Here is a 26130-nt window from a genome sequence, read left to right as displayed (position 1 = left end):
ACATACATGTGCAAACGGGTGCTTAAGCAGCTCACACACATGCATGCACATGGCAAAGGCACACACTCACACATGTGCACACGGGTGCTTAAGCAGTTCACACACATGCATACACACGGCAAAGGCACACACTCACACGTGTGCACACGGGTGCTTAAGCAGCTCACACACATGCATACACACAGCAAAGGCACACACTCACAAACGTGTACACGCGGGTGCTTAAGCAGCTCACACACACACATACACAGGTGAAGGCACACACTCACACGTGTGGACACAGGTGCTTAAGCAGCTCACATGCATACACATGGCAAAGGCACACACTTACACACATGTGCACACGGGTGCTTAAGCAGCTCACAGCATTAGCCAGGCTCTTAAGAAATGGTTTCAGCTTCACCAGAAGGTTTCAAACCTCAGACAATCACAAGGCAGCATGCTGTCTCTCTGTAACATTCTCCTCATGCCTCTCAGCATCAGGGAAACCGCTTCAGACAGGAAACCATGACTTGGTAAGAGATCATCTGGTGGCAGGTGCCCCTTGCTAACCAAGGCTGGTTAAGATGAACAAAAGGCATAAGAGAGCAGAACTGTCAGTGACCCCTCCGGAGGTGGACTCCTTGAGAATCCAGGTATGGTCCTTTTAGGGAGAACAGTTTAGAAGATATTCAAGCTGATACCTTAAATCTCTGGGGTACCCAGTAAAAAAGTCTAAGAATTCATAAAAGGAAGCTTCTGATGAATGCAAAATTTTGTTCAACCTTAAATAAAGCATATATATATGTAAACTATATATATAAATAAAGCATATATATAAACTTTATATACGTATATAAACTTCATATACGTATATAAAGTTATAACTTTATATACGTATATGAAGTTTATATATAACTTTATATATATGTATATAAACTCAGACCCAGTCTTCTTCTTATGAATCTGCCTGGAGAGGAAGAAAGAAGAACCATGGTTTCATATGTACCAGAGTTTGGACCCTAACGTTGCCACTTTTGTGGGCTAACACCCAGAACTATCTCCATTCTGTCACATCTAAGATGAGGAAGCCACGCTGCCCTTGTGGTGCGCGTGGAACCATGCCGCGGGGAGCACCATTGGCAGGGAGCACCAACACACAGTGCTCACAGAGGAGCGGGGAGACCAGCCTGCCTACCATCTCCATTACTTCTGCCACACAAAATCCTCCAGCCACGCTGAATTCTACCCTGGCAGGTGTCCTGCGGCTGCAACAATGCTGGAGGGAGGGTGGAGAATGTGACCCCAGGGCTCCCTCACCTTGCGCTGGGTGACATCTGGACCATGTGAAGGGCTCTGGAGGGCAGGGCAGCACCACCCACCCCTGCCACCCAATCATAAGAGTCCTTAGGTGCTGGGGCACCTCCCACCCAACGTGTCTATGCTCCATGCAGCAGTGTGCAAGACCTCCCTAAAGTGGGGCTCTCACCAAGACGGCAAAGCATTTCCTAATGCAGTGGGTCAATCGTCCGGCTCAAAGGGCAGCCTTGGAGCTGGACAGACCAGCCCAATGAAAAACAAGCACGGCCTTGTCCGCAACCAGACTGCTGGAGCTGGGGCCTGCAATTTTGGGTAGAAACACTGAGAAGAAAGACTGAAAGAAGGTCAAGGAGAGAGACGAGCATTAATGGAGGAAGAATGCTACAAGAAGGAGCAGTGAGGTCAGAGGTCACAGGCCCCAAATCGCCCAACTGGTGGGAGATGCCAACATACCTCTCTCCTTTACAGTTCACACAAGTATACCCCACAAAAGTAATAAAGATGCAGAATATATTAACAGCACAAACAACATGATAGTGCGTATGTGTGTCTGTGTGTATATAAAACCCTGTACCTGACAAGCAGAGGTAACACATTCTCCTAAGGCTCTCAGAGAACAAAACAAAAATTGATAACGTTTTAGTTCATATTGCAGGTTTCAACAAATGTTGAAAACATGGAGTCCACAGAACATATCTCCTACTCAGTAGGCAATTAAATATCATTAGCAAAAGATAACTTTACAATTCCCTTGGACAAAACACTTTTTAAATGTTTCCAGATAAGAAATAGATGAGATCAGAAAACAGACCTCAACAATAATAAAATTATTGCATGCCAAAATTTGTAGCAAACAGCTGCAACAGAACTCACAGTAAAGTTTATAGCTTTTAAAAGGAGTAAAGAAACACAAAATTAGTGAGTCACGAATCCCATTTAAAAAGTTAGAAAAAGAACAGAAAGTATCCACAGAAAGTGGAAAGGTAATAATAAAGAAAAGTTCAGAAGTTAAGCAAAGAAACAAAGGCAACTGAGAAGATCAGTAAATATAAAATTTGGTTCTTAAAGTCTAAATAATATACAACCCTCTGATGAGATTAATCAAGAAAAACAACTGCGAAGGCACAGGGGATAGTAGTCACGTAAAGGAAGCCATGCCTTCTGGTTCTGGACAGGATGGAATAGACACCTCTCTCCCTATTCTTCCTGCTGAGCACAGCCAACAACTCTGGACATTACATGTGGAACAAACAGAAGAGAACCCTGAAAGCTGGAGGGAAGAAGGGGGACTGGCTGGGCCCTTGGGATTTGGAGAATGACACAGCGGTGAGTTCGCTATTCTTTGGGTTTCTTATTTGTTTGTTCGTTTTGTTTGTGCTTCCTCCTCTATATTTCAGACAGGGCACTGGAAAAGCAACTGAAAAATGCCAAAGGATACACACTGGAAAAAAACAGTCTCAAGAAAATTCTCTCTAGGGAAAGGGATGGGAAAGGAGGAACCTATTAGGTCAGAAAGCATCTGAGAATACCTGCCCTGCTCCATGCACAGGACAGGACGCACACAGCACCCTGCCCGGTCAGAGGGGCTGAGCTGAGAGCCTCGGCTTCCACTCCCACCCAGCAGTACCAAGCACCCTTCTCCCCACCGGTGGTGTCCCCAGGATCCAGGGAGGAGCCTGGATCTCCACCCTAGCTTGCTGGTAACAAGACATCCCTTCCCCATGGTGTCAACAGAGGCCGAAACAGAAGATTGATGTAAGATTCAGACTATCATAACATAATAACCTATACTTCCAGGACACAAACAAAAATTATGTGTCGTGCCAAACATTAGGCATACCTCAACATGAAAGAGAAAAGAAAATCAACAGAGGCCAACACTGAGATAACAGAGATGCTAGAATTCCCTTACCAGGATTTTAAAGCAGCTTCACTGAGCTTTCTATAGACAGGCTCAAACCAAGTTTCCAAAAAAGCCTGAACAAATAAGTAGGCGATATGGAGAACGAACAAACAAACAAACAAACAAAATAAAAAATGAAACAGACAATCTCAATATCCCTACAACAATTAAAGCAATTGAATTTATGATTTCTCACACCAAGTGGGAATCTAGGTGAATATCCTGAGAGCAAATGGAGAAACTCCAAATCGTACTTGTAGTCTCCAAGTTCCAGGAAAGCAACAAGAAAACACAACACAACACAACAAAAAAGAACTATTAAGGAGTTCACTGGAAATTTAAGCCATACTGAAGGGCCTAAGTCCTCAAGTATCTCAGAAATACACAATGAAGATTCACTTCTGCACAGAGAATCGCCTGGAAGAAAACTGCCCAAAGCAAAACACAAATTCAGCTAGCCTGGAACACGAGGTATTTTTGTATTGAAAGTGCTAGAGAAAGAGAGATCCAGAGGAGGTGAGCCCCAGCACATACTGGTGACAAAGGGCAGTGATTGAAGGCAACAAACAGCTCAGCGTGGAGAGTGAGAGGCTGTGCGTCTCTAGACAACAGAGTCAGGGAAGGGAGCCCTCCTGAGTTGGAAGTGATTTCTAGAGACAGAAGTGTCCACACACACAGGCCTCAAACATATTTCACCGTAATAACAGAGAGACCTCTTGGTTGCTGAGGCTAGGAATGCTACTTTGGCTCATTCCCAATTCCTCTACAGAAAACTTTCTCCTAATAGTCCAGGAAGACTCTTATTTAAAAATGGGACACAAAGAATTATGATCAAATCCCGTATGAGAACACTACCAAAAAGAAGTAAAAGTATGATAAATAACACACTAGCAGATAATGAAAATATACCAAAAAACTATGGACACAAAGAAAACGAAACTCATAGCGTAATATGTGAAACTGAACTAAAAATTGAGAAAATAACCATCATTTTAGAAGAACATAATTTAAAATAGTATTAGAACATCTCAGAAGTGGAATGGCAAGAAAACAGGAAGACATTTTACTATTGACAGAACTCACGAACCAACTAGATTTTTTTTTTCAGAAATGAAAAGTAGAAGAAATGTAAGAGTAAGGAGACATCACAGAAGGCACAGGAATAAAACAGAAAGAAGAGAATGAAAATAATTAAACAGAAAGAGAGGTAAAAAAGGTTCAGGAGAACATGACAGACAAAAAGACAGGCAAAAGAGATCCAACATACATACAACCGCGATTCCTGCTGCATCTTCCAAGAGCGTGGGGAGACACACAGTCCTGCGTTAATGACGAGAATACGTTCTGAGAAATGCACTTTTAGGTGATTTCATCACTGTGCAAATATCGTAGAATATACTTACCCAAACCTAGGTGAGAGAGCTGACACACCCAGGCTAGATGGTATAGCCTATTGCTCCTAGGCTACAAAGCGGTACACAACACATGACTGTACTGAATACTGTAGGCAACTGTGACACAGTTCTATGTATTTGTGTATCTAAACATACCTAAACAACATAGAAAAGGTACAGTGAAATATGGTATAAGAGATTTTAAAAGGCCGGGTGCAGTGGCTCACATCTGTAATCCCAGCACTTTGGAAAGCTGAGGCAGGAGGATCAGCTGAGCCTAGGAGTTTGAGACCAGCCTAGGGAATGTAGGGAGACCTCAGCGCTACAAAAAAATTTAAAATTAGCCAGGCATGGTGGCACATGCCAGCTATTCAGGAAGCTAAGGTGGGAAGACCACTTGAGCTCAGGAGGTCAAGGCTGCAGTGAGCCGATAATAAAATGGCACACCTGTCTAGGGCACTTATTATGAATGGAGCTCACAGGACTGGAAGTTGCTCTGGTGAGTCCATGAGTGAGTGGTGAGTAAATATGAAGGCTTGGGACAGGATGACTACTGTAGACTTTAGAGATACTGTACACTTAAGTTATCCTAATTTTATGAAAATATTTTTCTTTCTTCAATAAATTAAATTAGTTTACTGTAACTTTTTTTTTTTTTTTTTTTTGAGACAGGGTCCCGCTCTGTCACCCAGGCTGGAGTGCAGTGGCGCAATCTCAGCTCACTGCGAGCTCCGCCTCCCGGGTTCACACCATTCTCCTGCCTCAGCCTCCTGAGTAGCTGGGACTACAGGCGCCCGCCACCATGCCTGGCTAATTTTTTAAAATTTTTTTTTAGTAGAGACAGGGTTTCACCATGTTAGCCACGATGGTCTTGATCTCCTGACCTTGTGATCTGCCCACCTCGGCCTCCCAAAGTGCTGGGATTACAGGAGTGAGCCACCGTGCCCAGCCTACTGTAACATTTTTACTCTATAAACTTTTAAATTTTTTTATAGTACTTAGCTTAAAACACACACACACAAATTGTACAGCACCACAAAATATTTTCTTTATATCTTTATTTTATAAGCTTCTTTCTATTCTTAAAATTGTTATACTTTTATTTTTAAACTTTTGGTTGAAAACTAAGACACAGGGGTAGGCGTGGTGGCTCATGTCTGTAATCCCAGCACTTTGGGAGGCCGAGGCAGGTGGATCACTTGAGGTCAGGAGTTTGAGACCAGGCTGACCAACATGGTGAAACCCCGTCTCTACTGAAAGTACAAAAATTAGCCAGGTGTGGTGGCGGGCGCCTGCAATCCCAGCTACTCGGGAGGCTGAGGCAGGAGAACTGCTTGAACCTGGGAAGCGGAGGCTGCAGTGAGCCGAGTTCGTACCACTGCCCTCCAGCCTGGGCAACAAAGTGAGAGAGACTCCATCTCAAAAACAACAACAACAACACTAAGACATAAACACACACATTAGCGTAGGCCTATACACAGTCAGAATCACCATGGCGTAAAGCAACATATTTAAGATACTAAAGAGAAAAATGTGAACCAAGGATTTTATGAAGCCAAATTACCTTTCTCCTGTGAAGGCTACAGATAAAAAGATATGACTCCACAAGAACACAGGAAATATTTTTCTGATGAGCCCATCCTGAAGAACATAATATAAAATGGGGTTGGGCCAACCACGAAATAATTGGAGAAGCTTTGTCATAAGGTATGGTGGTAAGTGTCAAACACATTTAACTACTGAACTAGGACTAAATGATGGAGTTAAGGGTGACAGGATAATATGTAACCATTAAATGTGCTTAAAATAAAGTTAATACACTAATGAAATGGGAGGAAGAGGTGGGAGAACAAACAAAAATTAGGAGTGGGAGAGGAGGAAGAAGAGACTTCTGGCTAATTTTAATACTGCTTATAACAGTAAGTCAATAGAAATTATGTAAAAAGAGGGGTTTATGTGAATTATATAGAGAGTGATAATATAAAGCCAAGAAAAAAAATACAAACCTTCCTAAAAGTGAAAAGAAATATGAACATGGAGGAAAAGTTTACTAAGTTGAAGAATTCATGTATGCACACATTTGTTCATGTTTTCGAAAAGAAAAAATGGAAAGATTAAAAAACTTAAAAGCTACTTACAGGAGAAGGAAGGGAACTGAATGGAGAGAAAGGGAGGAAAGTGAGACTTTTGTGAATAGCCCTTGCAATAATTTTGACTTTAGAATCATGTAAATGTTTGTATTTTACATAATCAAATGCAGGAATTTCAGTTGAAGCTATAACCACAGAGAGAAGGACTGTAGGCACTGACCTTAAAACACAGGAATCTGACTGCATATCCTCAAGGGAATATATTATACAGACAGAAAAAAGTGCAAAGAAATATATTGCTCTAAATTTAGTCATTAATCATAATATTGGTATTATTCTCCAAACCTGTTATATATTTACTTAGGCTAAAACAAATAAGTAATCATGGTAATGATGAGAGAAAAGAAAAACTAGTATAAGTTTTAAATTTTTAAGTTAAAATAATGTAATCTTAAATATGATTTAAAAATATTTATCTTAATTTTCTCTTCTTTTAAAATTACAAACATTTCTTATTTCTGTTCACTAAATTATAAAAAATCAATGACAACCCAATTGCAATAAGCACTCCTAATACTCACGCTGTGGTCTCTAAATACTACTTCCCAAATAGTATTATTATTATTATTATTAGAACAAAAACAGGTCTCCCAAAAGAGTTTGATTCCAGGTGGTCTGTGGAAGAAAATATAAAAGGTAAGGTGGGAACACATACGACAGAAGGCAATAAAGCCATCCAAGACTGATGTGGTTACATCAGAAAGCGAGGGGAGCCCAAAAACTACAGAACAGTTTGAGTAAAGAAATGGCAGCTGCACTGGCCAAACTCCACTGTGTGTATAACATCCACCAGTTAACAATGATGCTTCACAGGGAGAGAAAAGCAGGGAAAGACACAAATTCACAGGACAACACTGGGGCTTCCAGAAACCAACTCATCGCAGTGAGAACAACTGAGTGCAAAGAATGAAGCATCTATCCTGCCTTTCTGGCATGAACCATAGTTTAGGTAACCAAACAGCCCTAGTGGATGAGGCAAACGTTATTCCACATAGATGAATCCCAACTAATAAGTACAGAAAGAACAACACAATTAGAAAATCACCGTTCTGCAGCCCCTAATGTGTACTGCATCCAGGCAATGACCATCAATGAATATTGACAGCAAGCTGCAAGGCTGGTGGGGAACCCAGCAGTGGCGGATCAGGCTGACCCCCTAAGCTCAATCCTCAGTCTCAGCACCAGTGAAGGAGCGGCCAGACCACACGCCTCATCATGCCATGCGGTGCAACGTGCAGTGCCACCTAGGAAGCTCGCTCGCCTCACAGGAAAAATAAATCTGAGTGGAATCGCACCTCAGACCTACCAGGGCAAATATGGGGTTGCAGGTGGGCTCTGCACCATGCCAGAGGAGGCAGCCAGCCAAATCCAGAACGCAGGCATTCCACACAGCCGCTACCCCCAAGAGGCAGACAACCCAGGGCTACAGGTAGGCCTTCGACATGAAACCGCCCGCAGGAGAATTTCCACAGGCACGTAGCCATGCCCTATAACCTGAAGCTAGGGCGCCGTGGCCTGTTCTCACAGCGCCATCCCTAGGCTCCAAGAGCCAGCATCCTGGGAGCTCTGCAGCGCTGTGCTGCTGCCTGTGGCTTGCACACAGATGTCACATAACATCATTTCCGCTGGAGGCACATGCCTGCCCAGATTAAAGGGAGGGTCACGATCCCCTCCCTGGCGGGAGGTGCATCAAAGTCACAGCACAAGAGCATGTGGAACGGGAGATACAGACCACAGTGAAACGTTATTTACATTCACTGCATTGGCAAACATTCAGAATGTTGGTGGACTGTAGATCATCCGTGGCGCTAACACGCTGCTGGGGGATGGGAATTGGTACCCGCGCTTTGAAACAAAAACTGACATGGTCCTGAAAGTTCCTGAAAGTTCACCTTTCACAGACTTTATGATGCAGCAATTCCACTTCCTTAAACCAAAAACACCTCATGTGTGCACCAAAAGAAACACACAGGAATGTCCACGGAAGCATCACTCACAATGGCAAGCGAGCCGCATGACCCTGCTGGAAAAACAAATAAATGATGCCTATTCACACACTGGAACACTATGCAGCCAGGCACACAAACTGCAGCTCTGCCCAGAAACACATACCAACCTAAGACACCTTGTGTGTGACTAAACAGAACAGGTTTGGGAAGTCTATGTAGGGACTGATGTCACTTTCTAAGAGTTCAGAAACAAGCAATCATGTGTAATAAAATAAAATTATTTTAAAGAGAAGAGATGAGAAAACAAAATGCAGGATCACGGTAAAGAAGAGGAAGCACCCACGGCAGCATGGGTCATCTCGCTTAGCCTGGTCCTGGGGTCACGGCTGTTCATGAGAAAGCTATGCTCCGCAGCTCACGTTACGTACGTGTCATATGCTAATTCTCATGTCACAACATTTTAACGAATATACTGGGAAGTGCAGCCAAGTACTGCAAGCAGAGGAGCCGGCACACGTGATCCCAGACCAGGCAGCACTTACAAAGGATGGCAGGAAGGCCAAGACGTTGTCACGGAGATGAGGCCCAGCAGGGCAGGAAGGCATGACCAGCAGGCCTGGCTACAGGCAGCAAGCACCAAACCCCATTCCAGATGCCAGGAAAGGCACACACAGGCCTGGCGCAGGTGGGCTGTCTTCTGGCCGCTCCCTGGGTGGACTGGTCTTGGAGACTGGACGGTAAGGACTGGGGAGAGTCAGGGTCCACTTTGGAGGCAGAATTGGGAGGGTTTGAATCAGATGAGTAAGGAGGTACCAGGAAGGGGTCCAAGGTTCCTTCTGTTTGTATCCCCCACAGGTCTGCTGACATCGGCCCCCAGAGAGGGGCAACCCACGGCCAGGAAAGCAGACCAGGCAGCCCCTCTGTAAGGCTGAAGGAGGAGCTACTGTGGGTGGCCTGGACTCCTTGTCATCTCGGGCCCCACGTTGCCCCTCTGGTGATCAAGGACTCACAAACTTCTTGCTCATATTCTGAAAGATGGGCAGCTTTTTGTTTGGTGAGGTTACCATGCCTGCGGCCACAGCTTCCCCTGTGGAACTGAGATCCAGACCCCGCCAGGCCTGGGGCCTGTTCCCCTGGGGCTGCCGTGACACTGGCTTTCTGCGCTCTCCTCTCCCCAGGGCATAAGGCCCAGACCTCCTGCGGGTCAAGCTCAAGACCCTGGGCCCAGGGTCTGCCTGTCCCTGGCCCAAGCTGGCAGGTGTGGCCTGGATGAAAATGGCTCAGGAGAAGCTGATCTGCTATGCAGCCTAGTCTGCCAGAGCCAGGGTCCAGGCCCATGGGCAGCTCACAGGGATGTGGGGCCACGCCCAGGCTCTGTCTTCCTCACGCAGGGGCCATGTGGCAGGACAGGCCCAGCACACCATGTGAGTGCCCAGAATGCTGAGGCATATTAGGTTTGAACCCTGGAACTGTGTTTCTGCCTCTCTGACCTCTCAGATGCACAGGGACTTGCAGAGGGGCTCCTTAAGGTGCTCCAGGTCAGTGCCGGCTGCGGCCAGGAGCTGACGGCCGGCAGGGAGGTGTAGAGACCCGGGGCCAGTGTTAAAGGTGCTACGGCCACTTGGCTTTGCTGTGACCCCCGTGCACAGGAGCACCAGACTCCTCTCTGCCAACAGGCCACAGAGCAGCTCCGGTGCTGCTAAGCCTCCGGAGTGGGGCGAGTCTTGTGCAGGAGGCTCCCAGGCAGGTCCCGGGGCATGAAGTTTAAACAGGCCCCACCCACACTCCTGGGAGCCTGTGTAGGCCCCGCCCCCGGGGCCCAGGGCAGACGTGGGCTATTCTCTGTCTTGGCTCCCCTCATCTGGCTCTCACCTCAGGAAAAGATGTACCTAACTCCTATGATTCCTACATCCTCATAAATGAACCCACAGGAACCTGTGGCTCTGTGAGTGGGGAGCAGCCCCCGTGTCAGCAGAGGCTGCTGCGGCGTTCGCGAACCGGCCTCCCAAGCTGCCCGCGTCATTCAGTGGCGCTGCCCACCCCGAGCACGGGTGGACACCGCGCAGAGTGACATTTCCAGCAGCGCTTTGAGGGACTCACGGTGCCTCCCCATTCCTGCTGCCGCAGGCCTCCCGAGCTGGGTTGTGCACTCAGCGCTCAGAAGTGGGCATTCCTGGGCTCTGCCGAAAAGCGTGCCAGGTGAACTCGGAACTCACCTGCTGCTCTCCTCTAGAGGCAGCTCCGAAGTCTGCTTTGTCCTTTTAAAAACCTTTCATACCACCTCCCTCGTGGGCCCCCTCTGAGAGACGCCTCTGATTTTTCAGTGGTGCTTCCTTTGGAGTCTATTGGCCTACTTCCATCTGCACGCCATCTCACAGGTGCTGCTGCCTCTGAGGCGCTGGGCTGCACCCTCACAGTGCAGCACTCGTGGACGTGGTGGCCTGGGGAGAGCAGGGCTGTGGCCGTCTTCTGTTGTGAGGCCAGCACGAGGACCTCTTTGGCGGGCACGGGGACAAGCTATGCTGGGCAGTGGCGAGGAGGCAGCTGGCCCCTCCCAAAGCACAAGCTGCATGGGGACGCCACCCCTAGACAGTCACAGCACATGCTGTGCCTTGGAAATGGACATCCTAGCTAATCACAAATTTCGGTCAGCCTCTAGGAAAGCATTTAGTCATTCATTCACAACTTCCAGTCCCTGCTCTAACACGCGCCCTGGTCGGAGGGCGCTCTGACGGCTGGTGACAGGACACGACACTGCCAGGAAAAGAAGCTGCCAGCCGGGCTCCAGGCACTGTGCGGCATCTTCCTGAGAGGCCTGCTTGGCCTGGCCTTGCTTGGAGTCTGGGCCCTTGACAACTTCCACGTAGACCCAGACTCCTGGGCCCCGTGGACTCGTGAATCGGTGGCAGTCTCAGCCTGTGGGGGTGCTGGCCAGCCCAGCTCCTCCCTTCCCTACCCAGGACATGTCCTGGCTCAGCCCCCAGCCTTCCCTGTGCTTGGCTTTCCTTCTGGTGACCAGATAACATCCACGCCATCCTCAGAGGTGGTGACAAGCACAGGTGAGTCAATCGCCAACATGGTCCAAATTTGTTTCCAACATTTAAAAAAACAGAAGATTTCATATTCAAATATGATTTTATGACTTTAAAAGGGAGTCAGGTGTTCCCTGAGCTCCTGCCCAGGCAGGCAGGACTGCAAGCTCCTCCCAGCAAGGTGGTCCCTCCGTGACCCTGCCCTGCATGGGGCCACAGCAGCCACCTGTGGTCTGCCCAGAAACAGACAATCCTTCCAGAGCTCTTAGCCCCTTAGGCCTGGCCTCTGCCACTGGCACTGGCCACTCACATTCATGGGCGCATACACTAGGCCTGGGCACCATCCAGTCGTGCTCAGGGGGGTGGCCCGTGTCTGGAATCCTGGTGAAGCAGAAACACCCTCTGTCCTGAGAAGCCCTTCTCCCCTCCTCCACCCACTCTCCTGACATGGGCAGCACCTCGGCAGTTGGCTGGAACCAGACAGTCTTTGTGAATAAGCTGCCAGGGGCCAACGTGGGAAAGTTCTGAGCCTGGCATGCACAAGTAGCATGCTGGATTTTTTAGGTTCTAAGGTTGTGCTGTTGTGAGGCCTGGGAAGCAACCCTCAGCTTGGCATTGCCTTCTTTACAGAGATGCCTGGGGGGCCACAGGCTTTCTCTCAGCTTTCCATCTGATGGCATTAAGTAACCCGCAAGCAAAGTCCAAAACTGTGAACATAAAAATGCTACATATTGATGAATGAAAGCCCTACTGCCCCACAGTTACTATGTAACATAGTTATTTAATAACCGCGAGGTGGGGGTATCTCCTGCCTGCCCATGGCCTGAGGCCGTGTCTCCGTCTGCTGGATGGGGGTGCCCACTCCTTCCCTTGGGTGTGCCCACAGCTGCCCACAGAGAGCCTCGCTGGCTGCTGATATGGTTTGGCTGTGTCTCCACCCAAATCTCATCTTGAATTGTAATTCCCACAATCCCCACGTGTTGAGGGACCTGGCGGGAGGTGATTGGATCATGGGGGCAGTTTCCACCATACCGTTCTCATGATAGCGAGTTCTCACGAGATCTGATGGTTTTGTCTGGCAAGTTCCTCCTTCGCCCACACTTCTCTCTCCTGCCGCCTTGTGAAGAAGGTGCTTGCTTCCCCTTTGGCTTCTGTCATGATTCTAAGTTTCCTGAGGCCTCCCCAGCCATGTGGAACTATGAGTCAATTAAACCTCTTTCCTTTATAAATTACCCAATCTTGGGTATGTCTTTATAGCAGTGTGAAAACGAACTAATACAGCTGCATTTGTTAAGCTCCATCTGCCAAATTTGTTTCTTCTCTTGCTCCCAGGAGTGCTCAATGTCAGGAGGAAGCCACGACTCACTCACTGGAGAACACGAGGTCAGCACGGGGCCACGGGGGTGGGACTTATTGTCAACATGATGTAGGTGTGGGGTCCCGGGGTGGCTGCACAGCTGAGAATGGTCAATTTCCCAAAGCTGAAGTTCTGACACTCAGAGGCGTTTGGCAGAGTGACTACATCTTGAGTAAGGGCTGGGTAAAATAAGGCTGAGACCTGTTGGGCTGCATTCCCAGATGGTTAAGCATTCTAAGTCTTGGGATGAGATAGGAGGTCAGCACAAGATACAGGGTCATAAAGACCCTGCTGATAAAACAGGTTGCAGTAAAAAAGTTGGCCAAACCCCACCAAAACTAAGATGGAGATGAGCGTGACCTCTGGTCGTCCTCACTGCTACACTCTCACCAGCACCATAACAGTTTACAAATGCCATGGCAACATCAGGAAGTTACCGTATGGTGTAAAATCCCCTCAGCTCCAGGAATTGCGCATGCCTTTCCCAGAACACTCATGAATAATCCCCCCTTTGTTTAGTATACAATCAAGAACCATAAAAATGGGCACCAGCAGCCCTCGGGGCTGCTCTGCGTATGAAGTAGCCATTCTTTATCCCTTTACCTTCTTAATCTACTTGCTTTGGCTGGCTGCGGTGGCTCACACCTGTAATTCCAGCACTTTGGGAGGCCGAGGTGGTAGGATCACATGAGGTCAGGAATTCGAGACCATCCTGGCCAACATTATGAAATCCTGTCTCTACTAAAAATACAAAAATTAGCCAGGCATCCTGGCACATGCCTGTAATCCCAGCTACTCAGGAGGCTGAGGCAGGAGAATCACTTGAACCCGGGAGGTGGAAGTTGCAGTGAGCCACATTTGCGCCACTGCACTCCAGCCTGGGCGACAGAGCGAAACTCTGTCTAAAATAAACAAACTAACTAACTAACTTGCTTTCACTTTATGGACTTGCCCTGAATTCTTTCTTGTGTGAGATTCAAGACCCCTCTCTCGGAGTCTGGATCGGGACCCCCTTCCAGTAACATGACCAGTGCAGTGCTTTCCAGTGTATGGAATACAGCACAATTCAGGTTGAAAAGCTATGAAATTCTTTAGAAAATCCTGCTGAGAACCAAACTTTCAACAACAGACCTCACCATCTATATGCACATCAAATTTTCATGTTTTCTTCCATTAATTCCCTAAGTTGTTTATCAGTTTTGATTTTTTTTTTTTTTTTTTTTTTGAGACAGCATCTAACTCTGTTGCCCTGGCTGGACAGCAGTGGCGTGATCTTGGCTCACTCCAACCTGCACCTCCTGGGCTCAAGCGATCCTCCCACCTCAGCCTGCTAGGTAGTCTGGATTACAGGCGCATGCCACACACCCAGCTAATTTTTATATTTTTTTGTAGAGACAGCCGGCGCCGCCCCGAGGAGTGAGCGGAGGATCTGCCTGGAGCTAGCCAGCCTCATGGCCTGGACAGACACCTCAGTGAGCCTGTGATCAGGGCCCTCGGAGCAGAGCCAGCTGCAGGGAGGCAAGTCAGGAGGCCTTTCCTTGAGGCCAGGAGAGAAGAACAAGCCAGCAGGAGGGCAGGACAGACTCCAGAGACACTCGTTGAGAAAACTGGCTTCAGCTCCAGAGTGGGGGGCAGAGGGGCTGCTCCGCCTGGGCAGCGTGGGGACTGCTGCCGGCCGGGAAGCTGCCAAGAGCCCGGGAGAGGAGGGCAGAGGGCACAGCACTCCTTCTTCATAGACAGCAGGGACAAAGGTGGAGGGTGACTACGTCACTCTCGATTCCCCGCCTTTCTGGGAAGGCCTCATCATGAAACATTTTCGGCATCATAATACTGGCTTATAAATGTTCGTATACCCAATTCCCAAACCATTGATTAATTTATTAAAGCTATGATTTACGTAAGGATGAGCATTTAATTAGAGAAGAGCTTCTACCATTTCACCAACCCAGGCAGTGGGGAAGGGGTGGAAAGGGGCGGCTGCTGTCCCAGGGGCAGTCCTTGGTGTCCTCCTGGTCCAGGCTTTCTTCCCTCCCTTCACTGGCCTCCAGAGCCAGGTGCTGCGCTGCCTGCACTAGAAGCCCTGCCCTAGGCTGTGCTGAGCATGCGCACACACCCCCCACAGCAGGGCTCCCGCGTCAGTGGCCTCACTCCACCCTGCTCTCCCAGCGAGCCTGCTGTCCATAGTCTGGCAGGTCTCCTCTTCACGTTCAGTGACACAACTGCTCGGCGCATTATAGAGGCCTCTGAAAGGCTATGTGTTCACGATCCTCCCATGGAGGGGCTCAGAGGAGCGGCCTAAGAGGAGATGCCTGCACTGTGCAGGAAAGAGGGGCTCCCTGCAGAGCCAGTGCCGTTGGTGGGGCTCAGGCTCCCAGGGTAGGGGCAGGAGTGGTCTCCACAGTGCACATTTGCACGTATGTTAGGACGAGGCTATGGGGCACAGAGGGGCCATTTGCCCTGCCTGGAGACTGGTCTAGGGTTGCAGGGCCCACATGTACTGCATGCCCCCAAAAGGGTCAGGGGAAGGCTTCCTCCATCCCCTTGGGGCCACAGCCTCCTACTTGCCTAGGGAAACATGGCTCTTGGAGGCCCAGGGAGGCCACTACCCTGCTGAGCAGGCAGGCCCCAAACTAAGGTGGAGACCACAGCGATCGCAGCAGGGCAGCAGAAGCTGGTCTCAGGCTGGTGGGTGAAAGCTGAGGTTACTGGCAGTTGCCATGGCATGGTGAGATTGCCAGGATGAGGGCCCACTTGAAGAACATGCCTGCACTGCCCTAGAGCTGCATCTTCCTGGCAGCAGAATGTCAGGGGAACCAGGCCTCCCCGCTTCAAGTGGGACAAATGTATGAGCCTGGGGGGCAGGTGGGGAGGGCCCTGCAGGGTGCCTGGGCAGCCTGTGGAGGAACAGCGGGGATTCCCTTCGCACCGGGTGTAGCCAGCTGCACGGCATTAACAGCCACTTGTCCTTCAGAACTTTGCTCTTCAGGTGGGGTCTGGGGTGAGGAAACCCAGTAACCCAGGATTTGCACAAGGAAAGTAGCTTCCTGTGGCTTGGCTTCTTACGAGTGTCTAAAAGAACCGTCCTGGTACCGCTAGGCCACAAAATGTTCAGAAAACACTGCAAGAGACACTGGGACACTCTAAAGCCAGGCCCAGAGAAGGAATGCCGAGGAGAGAGAGGAGGAATGCCAAAGAGAGGCCCAGCGGGAAGGGGTTCTGCCCAGCACCCTCTGCCTGGTCCCGGGCTCCCTGTGCAGGGAGCTATGCCAGTGTGCTGAGGGTGTTCGATGAGGACAGCAGCTCACAATTGCAGAAGCCACGGACTCCTGGAGAAATGGACCACGCACCTTCTCCCCAGCAAAGTGTCCTCTCTCCAAAGAGCTTTGAATCTCAGAGAATCTGAAGGCCCCCACCACGTGGGGCCCATCCAGAGCCCTGGCCCAGAGCAGCAGAGGACAGGCTTATACCCCTGCTCTGGAGTTGTGAAACCGTGGCACCCTGGAGTTGTGAAATGCCATCTCAAACTCGGCCAATGGCCCTTCCATCCCTGTCCCAGCTCCTACACTAGCTCTTTCCATTATAAGGAGGCCGGGAAGTAATCCAGCTTCACCTGGTAAGTTCGACCTGTGAAATGTGGGAAGACACAAGTCAGACACAACACCTTCTGTCCACACCGCTGGCACAAGGCTTCCAGTTGGGCAGAGCTGCTAGGGGGCACGGGGACAGAGGTGGAGCTCCTCCATCCAGCCCCCAAAGGAGCCTGGGCATGACCGTGGGTACTCAGAGCAGGCTGCCTCCTGAGGGACCAGAAGTCAAGCGTGCGACGGGCTGCGGGGCGGAGAGGCCACTCTGCCTCCAGGGACACACACTCTCCCAGGCCCACTTCCCTGTGGCCAAGGAGGAAAGCCGAGCAGGCACCTTTGAGTTGCACACAACGGACACACAGCACAGAGCCCACCCAGCCTGAGTATTTACCATCCGCCTTTCATGGAAATGCCGGCACCTGCTCCAGAGGATACAGGAATGACAGGGATGGAGGACGGGAGGGACTCCCAGCCTGCGGGGAGGCTCCTGCATGTGCCCAGCAGACTTTCAGCAGGGCTGGGCTGCAGGAGTGCCCAGCATTTCCCATTTCAGCTCCACTGGAAAGTGCGGCTGGTTCAAGTTGTTGCGAACTGATCCCACCCATGTATACTGGGGTGGGAGGGCAGTGGGCAGCTTCTCGGCTCAGGTTTCCAGAGCACGAGGGGGCAGATCCAGAGCGAGAGTAACTCACCGTATTAAGAGTCTGGGCATTAAGCCTGGTGCCATGAAGGGACCAGACTTTGGGGCCATCTTCCTTGGGTAGGGTTTATTTTGCATGGGGAAAGCTGGGAAGCAAATATTTGTGACCAGAAGGGCAAATGATGGTGACTGAATTACTGCTCATGCATATTCACTGCCTGTCCCTGGGAGAGGCCTACACTTCCCACCCCCTGAAGTCTTGGCCAGTTGGCGTCTCTTGTGGGAAGAATAACTCCCGTCCTGCGGGTGGTTGTCTGTGCTCTCACTGCTCTGCTCCAACACCAACGACACTCCAGATGGGGACTGCACTAGTTGCTTGGGAAGGGGTTGAAGACAAGAGCCACAGCTGACACAGGTGAACAGGAAATAAACTTGTCTATGTATCAGCCACTGGCATCTGAGGACCTTTCATTACTACAGCCTCCCCAAGCCCCTCAGAGCTGCTCTGCCTCCTTCCCAGACAGCAGCACCAGCAGCACAAAGTCTCAGCCCACTTTCCTGGCCAGGTTAGTTCCAAATTTTCTTTCTCCTGTTGGTATGAATCTGGCAACTCCTCCATCTCTTTCATTTTAAACTTTCTGGGTCTTTTAATTGAGGTCTCATGAAGAGTGAGTCCTTGGACTTCCCTGGGACCCTGAGTTCTGCTTATTAACAGCTTGGCTGAGATGTAACTGATGTACATAAAACTGCATACATCACAGTGTACAATGTGAATTTCTAAATTCTGGTGGCTGTACTTTCAGTTCTGAAACCTCGACTTGGTTGGCCCTCCGTCTTCGCTTGGCTGAGACTTTCCACTTCCTCACTGTGTAGAGCTGGTGACGGCTCACTGAAGCATCTTTATGATGTCTTTTTTAAAAGCCCTGTTGGGTAACTTCGGTGCCCATGTCATCTGGGTGTTGGTGTTGGTGTCTGTCGATTGCCTTTTGTCAGCTGAACTGGAGTCTTCCTGGTTCTTGGCGTGTGTGAGGACCTGCAGTTGAAACCTGGCCATGTGATGTGACGTGATGATCATGTCCAGATCTTCTTTTATCTCATTTTCACCGGCCTCCTCCGACACCATCGCAGCGGGGGCAGAGGTGTGCTGCCTCATTGCCGCCAGGTTAGAAGAGGCATCTAGGTTCCGCCCCTGGCCTCAGCTGATGCCCAGATGGGAAGGGCTCCTTGTCCCTCAGCTGATGCCCAAATGGGAAGGAGATCCTGAGCAGGTAGGGAGCTCCAGTCCCCGTGTGGTCCCCAGGGACGCGGGAGTGGGGAGCGCTCTTGAGAGCCTGGCTCAGCTGGGAGTACATGTCCCCATCAGCCTCCCTGATGCTCCCTGGCTCAGCTGGGAGTACGTGTCCCTGTCAGCCTCCTTGATGCCCCCATGGTGTGGACTGGAGCACCTTGACACGGGTGGGTACAAGCAGAAGCCTCAACTCTCCACTTGGCCTTTCCTGACTCGGGGGAGGCTGTGGCCACAGTTTTGGGGAGGTCTGGCCAAGGCAGAGCACGTTTTGTTCTGTCCGGCTAGGCTGCCCCTTTCCTCCTCCTCTGGTTAGAGAGAACAGAGTTTGTTAGAATTTTATTTTCTTGTTTGCTTTTTGCCTGTACCCACTGGCGTTTCCAGTTTTCTGACTTGTCCAGTGCCCCATCTGGAACAAATGACCCAGGGAACTCACCACCATGTCGTCCCATGGGTCCTGAGGTATGTGGCTGGCTGGCCTTCTTCTTCCCACCTTTCAGAATCTTTTATGCATGTTTTATATAAAATACCCAGCACCTTTGTCATGCCTGGTGGGGAGGACAGGGAAGGCACCCTGACTCCATCCTCCTAAAAGCTGAAGGCCACGCATCTGCTTCACGTCACCACAGAGTACTTCACACACCTAGAATTTTGCATGCGTGAAATCAGAGTTTAGACTCATTCATGTCAAGCTTCTTTCACTGAGTGTAGTTATCCTCACATTCACCTGCGTTATGTGGATCAGAGCAGCTCTTGTGCCTGTCTTTTAACAGGAAAGTTGAACCGTTCAAATGCATTGAGGTAACATGACACCTGGACTTGTCTCATTCTCACTGCTTTATTTAATTTAATTTTTTTTTTTTTTTGAGACAGAGTTTCACTCTTGTTGCCCAGGCTGGAGTGCAATGCCGCAATCTCGGCTCACCACAACCTCCACCTCCCGGGTTCCAGCAGTTCTCCTGCCTCAGCCTCCCGAGTAGCTGGGATTACAGGCATGTGCCACCACGCCTGGCTAATTTTGTATTTTTAGTAGAGACAGGGTTTCTCCATGTTGGCCATGCTGGTCTCAAACTCCCAACCTTGCCTTGGCCTCCCAAAATGCTGGGATTACAGGCGTGAGCCACTGCACCCCGCCCTCACTGCTTTTTTCTTTCCTCTTTAGTTATATATTTTTTTCTTTCATAGGTAGTAACTTGGAAGTAAATGTATTTTAATACTAATAGTTAAAATAAGGAAAAAGTCATTTGGATTTATTTCCATGTCACTGTATGCACTGAATCCCTCCCTGTGAAAGATTCCACATGCGCCCCCACGTCCCACCACCAACCCCACCTCTGCTGGGGCAACCTCGATGCCCTGCCTGAGAGAACTTCCCCTCCCCAGACAAAGTGAGGAGTCTTCCCTCCTCCCAGTTTCCAGCATTTCCCTACTGAATTGCAGAATTCCTACTGAGATGCAAAAAGAAATAATGATCTATATGAGCCCTGAAAAATAAGAAAGGGTTTCCTCCGTCTAATACAGAAAAACAATCTGAAGGAAACTCATCCACGGTGACACTGATCTGCCAACTGGGAGGGAGGAGCCTGTTGAGCCGCCAGGAGTGGCAGACCCCTCCCAAAATCACCAGCCATGGGTTGAGGGACAAGACAGAAGGGTGCTGGGCGGCAGGCAGGACACGGGTCACACAGGAGGGCCAGCTGAGCGCTCAGGTCCTGGGCTCTCCACGGCGGCGGGGACACTCTCCCTTGCCTCATTTCCTAAGAGATGACGATCAGGGAGGAGGGCCAGGCTCCACAGAGCAGCCATGCAGACAGGCAGCAGTGGCCGAGGCAGCCACTTACTCCCAGGAAGGCGCTGAGAATGTCATCTAGATTCTGTGGTGACCTAGCCTTGCTTTTACTTCGGAGTCACTCAGGAGCTCGCAAACATCCCTGAACCACCAAGACCACAGCAATTAGAACCTCAGAGCAAGGGCTTGGCATCACAGCTACCTCCTGTGTGGCACAAGCTCAGAGCCAATGCAGGGACACCTGCTGTATGCAGGCCAGGGCTGAGGCCCCCTGCCAGGTACCAGGGTGCCCCTTCTCTGCAGCTGCCCACCTGCAGGGTGCAGGGCTTGCAGGCTTGTCAATGTTTTCTCAGGAGGAAGGCATTTCTTTCAAACGAAGTTGTACTTGGACTTTAAGCCATAAACTCACAAGAGGGCTCCCTGGGCTGTTCCACTTTTTACTGCTGATGACAGTCTCACACCTCTTCTAATGGCCCCATGTCCTGCCAGCTTTCCTGCAGCCCCCGCCAGATGCAGGCCATCTATGTCCTTGTAGACATCAGCCAGCAAAGCAGCGGGTGAATCCGGGTGGATGCACAGTGGGGAGCAGCCATCTGGGTTTCATCATGTGGAACCGTTACTGCTACCAACACCCTCAGAAACCCATCCACACCATGAGTCCATGCAGACCCTCAGAAACCCACCCACACCATCAGTCCACAAAGACCCACAGGCCCTAGAGACAAGACCAGGGCAGGGAGGGCTGAGAGCTCACCGCTGTTGCGGAAGCAGAGATTTACTGTGAACACAGGCTGGTTCTACAGCACACCTCTGGGGATAAAGCAATCCCAACGGGAGAAATCTCTTTAGAGGACATAGGGAATGCGTTGTCAGTCTGCCCCCTCCTTCCATGATTAAGTTTAGGAATTCTGGGATGTGGCTTCTAAAGCCAACCTTTCTGACATGACTTGCCTGATGCCCTGAGTCTCTTAGTTAGACAATGGAACAAATGTAGAAAAAGAAGGGAATGAGATCTAAAACACAGCAAAACTCGGAGTGTTCTAAAAGCACATGTGCTCTGGAAAGGGACTTGCACCTGAGGGCAGTGATGTGATCCTTAGACTTGTCCTGAGTGTCCGAGAGAAATGATGCAGGAGGCAGGACTCCCAGGAGGCAGAGTGAGGGGCTCAGCACATCCCCTGCCCAAGACAATGACAAATGGGATGAAACCATCAAAAATAGCCACTTTAGGATGCTGGAAATCAACTAAAGACACATTATAAATTGAGAAGCATTTATTTAAAAGAAACAAACAGGCCGAGCCTAGTGGCTCATGCCTGTAATCCCAGCACTTTGGGAGGCCAAGGCGGGTGAATTACGTGAGGTCAGGAGTTTGAGACCAGCCTGGACAACATGGTGAAACCCCATCTCTACTAAAAATAAAAAAATTAGCTGGGCGTGGTGGTGGGTGCCTGTAATCCCAGCTACTCAGGAGGCTGAGGCAGGAGAATTGCTGGAACCCGGGAGATGGAGGTTGCAGTGAGTCGAGATCATGCTATTGCACTCCAAACTGGGCGACAGAAAGGGACTCCATCTCAAAATAAATAAATAAAAATTAAAAAATAAAAAAAAAACACCTACTTTGCCTGGGGTCCTTTGCCACACTCTTTGAGGAGCATCCCTGAACCCAGGCCCATGGGCCCTGAATTGCCACAGCTGCCCTGCAGGAACCCGTCGGCCACCCCTTTGGGTGAGTCAGTGAATCACAGAGCCAAAGATCGCAGCCCATGCCAAGCCCACACACTGTGTGAGGACCAGGAAAAAACTCTCAGAAGAACGGACACGCGTGGTTCTGCGGGACATGAAAGGGAATCTGCACAGCGGAAAGTCCACGCCTGGGGTGGGAGGTCAAGGGGGTTAAATGGCTGCACTTTCCACTCATGAAGAGACCAGACACCACCTCAACCGAATCCCCAGCAGGACTTCTCCTGGAGCTGCACAGTGTGGAAGGTCCCCTGAAGGAATTAAGGCCGACGTTTTCTGAAACTCTGAAACCCTGTGTTCCTGGCACAGCAGAGCAGCCATGCCAGCGGGCGCTGGGGAGGACGACATGCAGGGAACAGAGGTGACTGACCTGAGGGGTCATGGGGACTGCAGAGGTCATTTCACAAAAGGTGCCAGTACAATCAGTTTTAGGCCAGAAAGTTAAAAAGTCTAATTCTAATCTCACCCACTACGTCAATGTGAGTCCTTGTAAAATTTTAAAAGTAAGAGTTGAATAAAACTACAATCTTATCTCACCCTTAGGTTGCACAGACCGATGTCCTATAAGAGGACAGCATGGAGGGGGAAGACCTTACCCCCCGCTAGGGCCCAGGTCAGCCTCACATGTGAGTCACAGTGACAGGGTGTGCCCGATACCATGGGGTGACAGTGGTACTTCACCTCTGGGGGCTTCCTCCTCAAACTCATAGCCCCTTCCTGTACCCATGAGAAAAGCATCAGACAGATCCCAGCAGAGGGATAGCCTGAAAAATGCCTGATTAGTCCTGCTCAGGACAGTCAAGGTCACCAAAACCAAGAAGAGTCAGAAACTCACAACCAAGATGGGTGTGTCCTGTGCCAGGTCTGCCCCTCGTGCACCTAACCCTGTCCCTCACTCTCCTAACCCTGTCCCCTGCTGGGTCCGCCCCTCACTCTCCTAACCCTGTCCCATGCCGGGTCCGCCCCTTGCTCTCCTGGCCCTATCCTGTGCTGGGTCCGCCCCTTGCTCTCCTAATCCTGTCCCATGCCAGGTCCACCCCTTGCTCTCCTAACCCTGTCCCATGCCATATCCGCCCCTCACTCTCCTGGCCCTGTCTTGGGTCTGTTATCTGCTTAACTGACAATTTTTAAAGAACCATTTTTAAAAAATCATTTTTATAGTCACCTGGAAAGAGATCAGTTCTTGCTATGGTTGATTTATAGCTTCTTGGGGGATGTGTCCAGTTTTAACCATGAAACATTTAAAAGAACGCAGAACACCGGAGAAGGCCCCAGAAAAGGCAAAAGAGGAGCTAAAGAAATGGACAGTGCGGCCAGAGGAAAGGCTCAGGCTGCAGTGGGGGCTGAGGACCCCGATGGCTCCCAGGATGACGGTGCCGGTGCCTGTGCCTGCAGGAGTCCTGCCAGCTTCTCCTGACCTTCAAAAGGGTCAAACGAGCAAATGGCCTCACACTGAACACAGAGAGATACCGGAGGCTATGGGTGATAGTCACACGTTGAGGGACATTGTGAAACCACTTCCCAGGGTGAGCAGGGAAGCAAGCTCAGTTCCAGGTGTCCTCCAGAGGATGAGCATGTGGAATATCATTTCTCAAGGCTCATGATTTTGGGGTCTGATAAATAGCTAAGTTGTCAGGAAAGAGAAGGTAGGAAAATGATGAGAGCAGGTGTCGGAAACGCCGAGTGACAATGCACCCTAAGGAGGAGCCTCCCCTGGGCGGTGCCTCCCTGACACTGCCGGTGCTTGCAGGACGGAAGCTCGAAGGGCCAGGGCTGGGCTCTGCTGCCTCCCATGACCTGGAGCTCCAGTACAGTAGAGGGAACAGAACCCCAACCCCAGTCTGCATGACAGCCACAGAGCACCAGCAAGAAGTGACAAGAGCAGGGAAGGGAGCAGAGACAGGCTGCAACATGTCACGAGCAGTCAGCATCACACGGGAGGACAGGAGGGTCCCGTGGAGAAGCCAGAACAAGAACCAGGGAGACAGGTGAGGAAGAGAGTTCTAGAAATGAGTTAGGGGAGGGGGCGGGGCCCACAGCAGGGTGCAGGCAGGGAAGAGTATTCTAGAAATGAGTTAGGGGAAGGCACAGGGCCCACAGCGTGGTGCAGGGGGAAGAGTGTTCTAGAAAAGAGTTGGGGGAAGGTGCGGGGCCCACAGCACGGTGCAGGGGGAAGAGTGTTGTAGAAAAGAGTTGGGGGAGGGTGCGGGGCCCACAGCGTGGTGCAGGGGGGTACTGGACCTCAGTTGAGGACCTCCTGGGCTGGACATCAGGCTGGAGCTCAGTGTGTGCTGGGCCAGTGTGACCCAGGAGTCACTGGCGACCCTGAGGGTCTTGGAGCCCCTGCGGAATCCAGGATTAGGGAGAGGCTGCACAGGAGAGGGGGTCCCTCCCAGCCTGCCAGGCAAAAAGTGGGAACCGGGAAGGGGGAGCAGGTCAAGAGTTGAAAGATGCTGTTCTCAAGAAAGGATTCTGCCTCTAAAAAGAGAAAAGGTACCAAGTTAGCCCAGGTCACAACGCCAGGCTCGCTGGCTCTGCAAGACAAGGGTGCTTTGCAGAAGCCACATGGATGGACAAGGACGAGGGGCCGGGTCTCCTCTCAGAACGCACTCCTCAGACACAGGTGTGCTATCACTGCTGTGGCCTTCAGAGTCTGAGGCTCTGTCCTCTCGAGGCTGTATCCCGCAGGGTCCTGAGGGCCTCTGCTGAAGGCGGGGCACACAGCCCAGATCGTGTGGCCAACAGAGCTGCCTGTCTGCTGCAAGGATGAAAAAGCGCCTCCCACCAGGATATTTCTAAACCGGGAGAAAAGGACGTGGCTCAGATACGTCAGCCCTGCCACGAGGTGGCAGCAGAGGTCCATGGTCATCCCCCAGGTCCCAGGAACTCCCTCCTCTGGCTTCTCAGAAACCAAGGTGCCTCTGGGGCTTGGCTCTAACCCAGGGGTCTGCAGGCCCCGCTGGCTGCCCATATCCACAATCCACGTTTCCCCGGAGCACAGTCTCACCCCCTCCTTGACTCGTGGTCTGCAGCTGCCTTCCAGCACCAGGTCAAGGCCACGCACACTGCAGACCGTGTGGCCCGCAGAACCCAAGCCACCTGTCCTATCCTGACCTGGGTCATCACAGGCCCTCACAAGGATTGTGGGAGAACAGCAGCCAAGCTGAAGTGCCAACACTGCGTGACATCCTCCTGGGCCTGGCACTCCTATCCGTGGGTGACAAAGTTCCCAGACAGCAAAGCGACGAGATAAAATGGGGCCCATGGGGCCAGGTAGGCGCAACGACCTCACAGGCAGCAAAGGTGTGCTGGCCCGTGGTGCCCACTGCCATGGCAGCCGGACTGGGTGTTCCCAGGACGGATACACTTGACATGGACACACCAAAAACACCTGACAGCCGGGAGAAGGCCAGCATCATCCCACACATAGCCGAGAGCCAGGAAAAGGCCAGCGCCACTCCCTTCAGAGGAGATGAGGTCTGAGCTGGTCCATGGGTCAGAGCCAGTGGCTGAAACGGAGACCCAGTCTCCAGGGAAGACCCGCAACAGTCCTGCGGTGTAGAGCAAACATTCACCCCACCTTCCCCAGCGGGCCTGAGTAACTGCCTGGAGTGACAGCATGATGGGCAGAGTGAGTGGCCAGGCCCTGGACCTTCAGACAATGGCTGGGTCTGGGGCCTGAGCTCCTGCCCACTCCAGGGGACTCAGACACCATCATGGACCCACAATTAACATGACAGACGGAGCTTGGCCCGAGTCCATCTGGCAGAGGCCCTGTGCCCGCACACCCATCTGCTAGACGTTCTGGTACAGCACTGGACAGAGGCGCCCAGCAGCTGCCAGACAAGCCCTCTGGCCCCGGCCTTGAGCAGGATATTAAGGCAGAAAAGGCCAAGTACAGTCCCCAGGAGCCTTCCCCACCTCAGCCAAGATAGCACCTGGGGAAGACTGTAGAATCTACACTACCATCAAGGACTTCAGGGCTGCGTGGGCGGTTTGACCCCT

The 26130-nt window shown here is 50.7% G+C and overlaps 1 protein-coding gene and 1 long non-coding RNA gene across 20 annotated transcripts in view, besides 5 other annotated features; one reads left to right on the top strand and one right to left on the bottom strand.

Annotated features, from left to right (window-relative positions):
• Window positions 1-26130, bottom strand: part of PCBP3 (poly(rC) binding protein 3) — a 298726-nt gene that overhangs the window by 96733 nt on the left and 175863 nt on the right.
• Window positions 8072-8615: an enhancer, noted in NCBI's record as "H3K27ac-H3K4me1 hESC enhancer chr21:47257017-47257560 (GRCh37/hg19 assembly coordinates)". NCBI's record gives its function as "activates a minimal SCP1, AML or CMV promoter by ChIP-STARR-seq in primed H9 embryonic stem cells {active_cell/tissue: H9 hESC(primed)}" and the evidence as "EXISTENCE:reporter gene assay evidence [ECO:0000049][PMID:30033119]".
• Window positions 9299-17877, top strand: PCBP3-AS1 (PCBP3 antisense RNA 1). The gene is made up of 3 exons (NR_038876.1): window positions 9299-9432; window positions 13060-13110; window positions 14477-17877. It is a non-coding gene; the product is annotated as a PCBP3 antisense RNA 1 (long non-coding RNA).
• Window positions 9686-10193: an enhancer, noted in NCBI's record as "H3K27ac-H3K4me1 hESC enhancer chr21:47255439-47255946 (GRCh37/hg19 assembly coordinates)". NCBI's record gives its function as "activates a minimal SCP1, AML or CMV promoter by ChIP-STARR-seq in naive H9 embryonic stem cells {active_cell/tissue: H9 hESC(naive)}" and the evidence as "EXISTENCE:reporter gene assay evidence [ECO:0000049][PMID:30033119]".
• Window positions 12716-12916: a silencer, noted in NCBI's record as "peak4427 fragment used in MPRA reporter construct". NCBI's record gives its function as "represses an SCP1 promoter by STARR-seq MPRAs in K562 erythroleukemia cells {active_cell/tissue: K562}" and the evidence as "EXISTENCE:reporter gene assay evidence [ECO:0000049][PMID:32103011]".
• Window positions 20500-21092: an enhancer, noted in NCBI's record as "H3K27ac-H3K4me1 hESC enhancer chr21:47244540-47245132 (GRCh37/hg19 assembly coordinates)". NCBI's record gives its function as "activates a minimal SCP1, AML or CMV promoter by ChIP-STARR-seq in primed H9 embryonic stem cells {active_cell/tissue: H9 hESC(primed)}" and the evidence as "EXISTENCE:reporter gene assay evidence [ECO:0000049][PMID:30033119]".
• Window positions 23278-23963: an enhancer, noted in NCBI's record as "H3K4me1 hESC enhancer chr21:47241669-47242354 (GRCh37/hg19 assembly coordinates)". NCBI's record gives its function as "activates a minimal SCP1, AML or CMV promoter by ChIP-STARR-seq in naive H9 embryonic stem cells {active_cell/tissue: H9 hESC(naive)}" and the evidence as "EXISTENCE:reporter gene assay evidence [ECO:0000049][PMID:30033119]".

The sequence above is a fragment of the Homo sapiens genome, chromosome 21 (assembly GCF_000001405.40).
Source record: "Homo sapiens chromosome 21, GRCh38.p14 Primary Assembly".
Classification (NCBI taxonomy): Eukaryota; Metazoa; Chordata; class Mammalia; order Primates; family Hominidae; genus Homo; species Homo sapiens.
The sequence above is the reverse complement of the archived record's forward strand: the minus strand, read 5'-3'. Positions and strand labels throughout refer to the sequence as shown.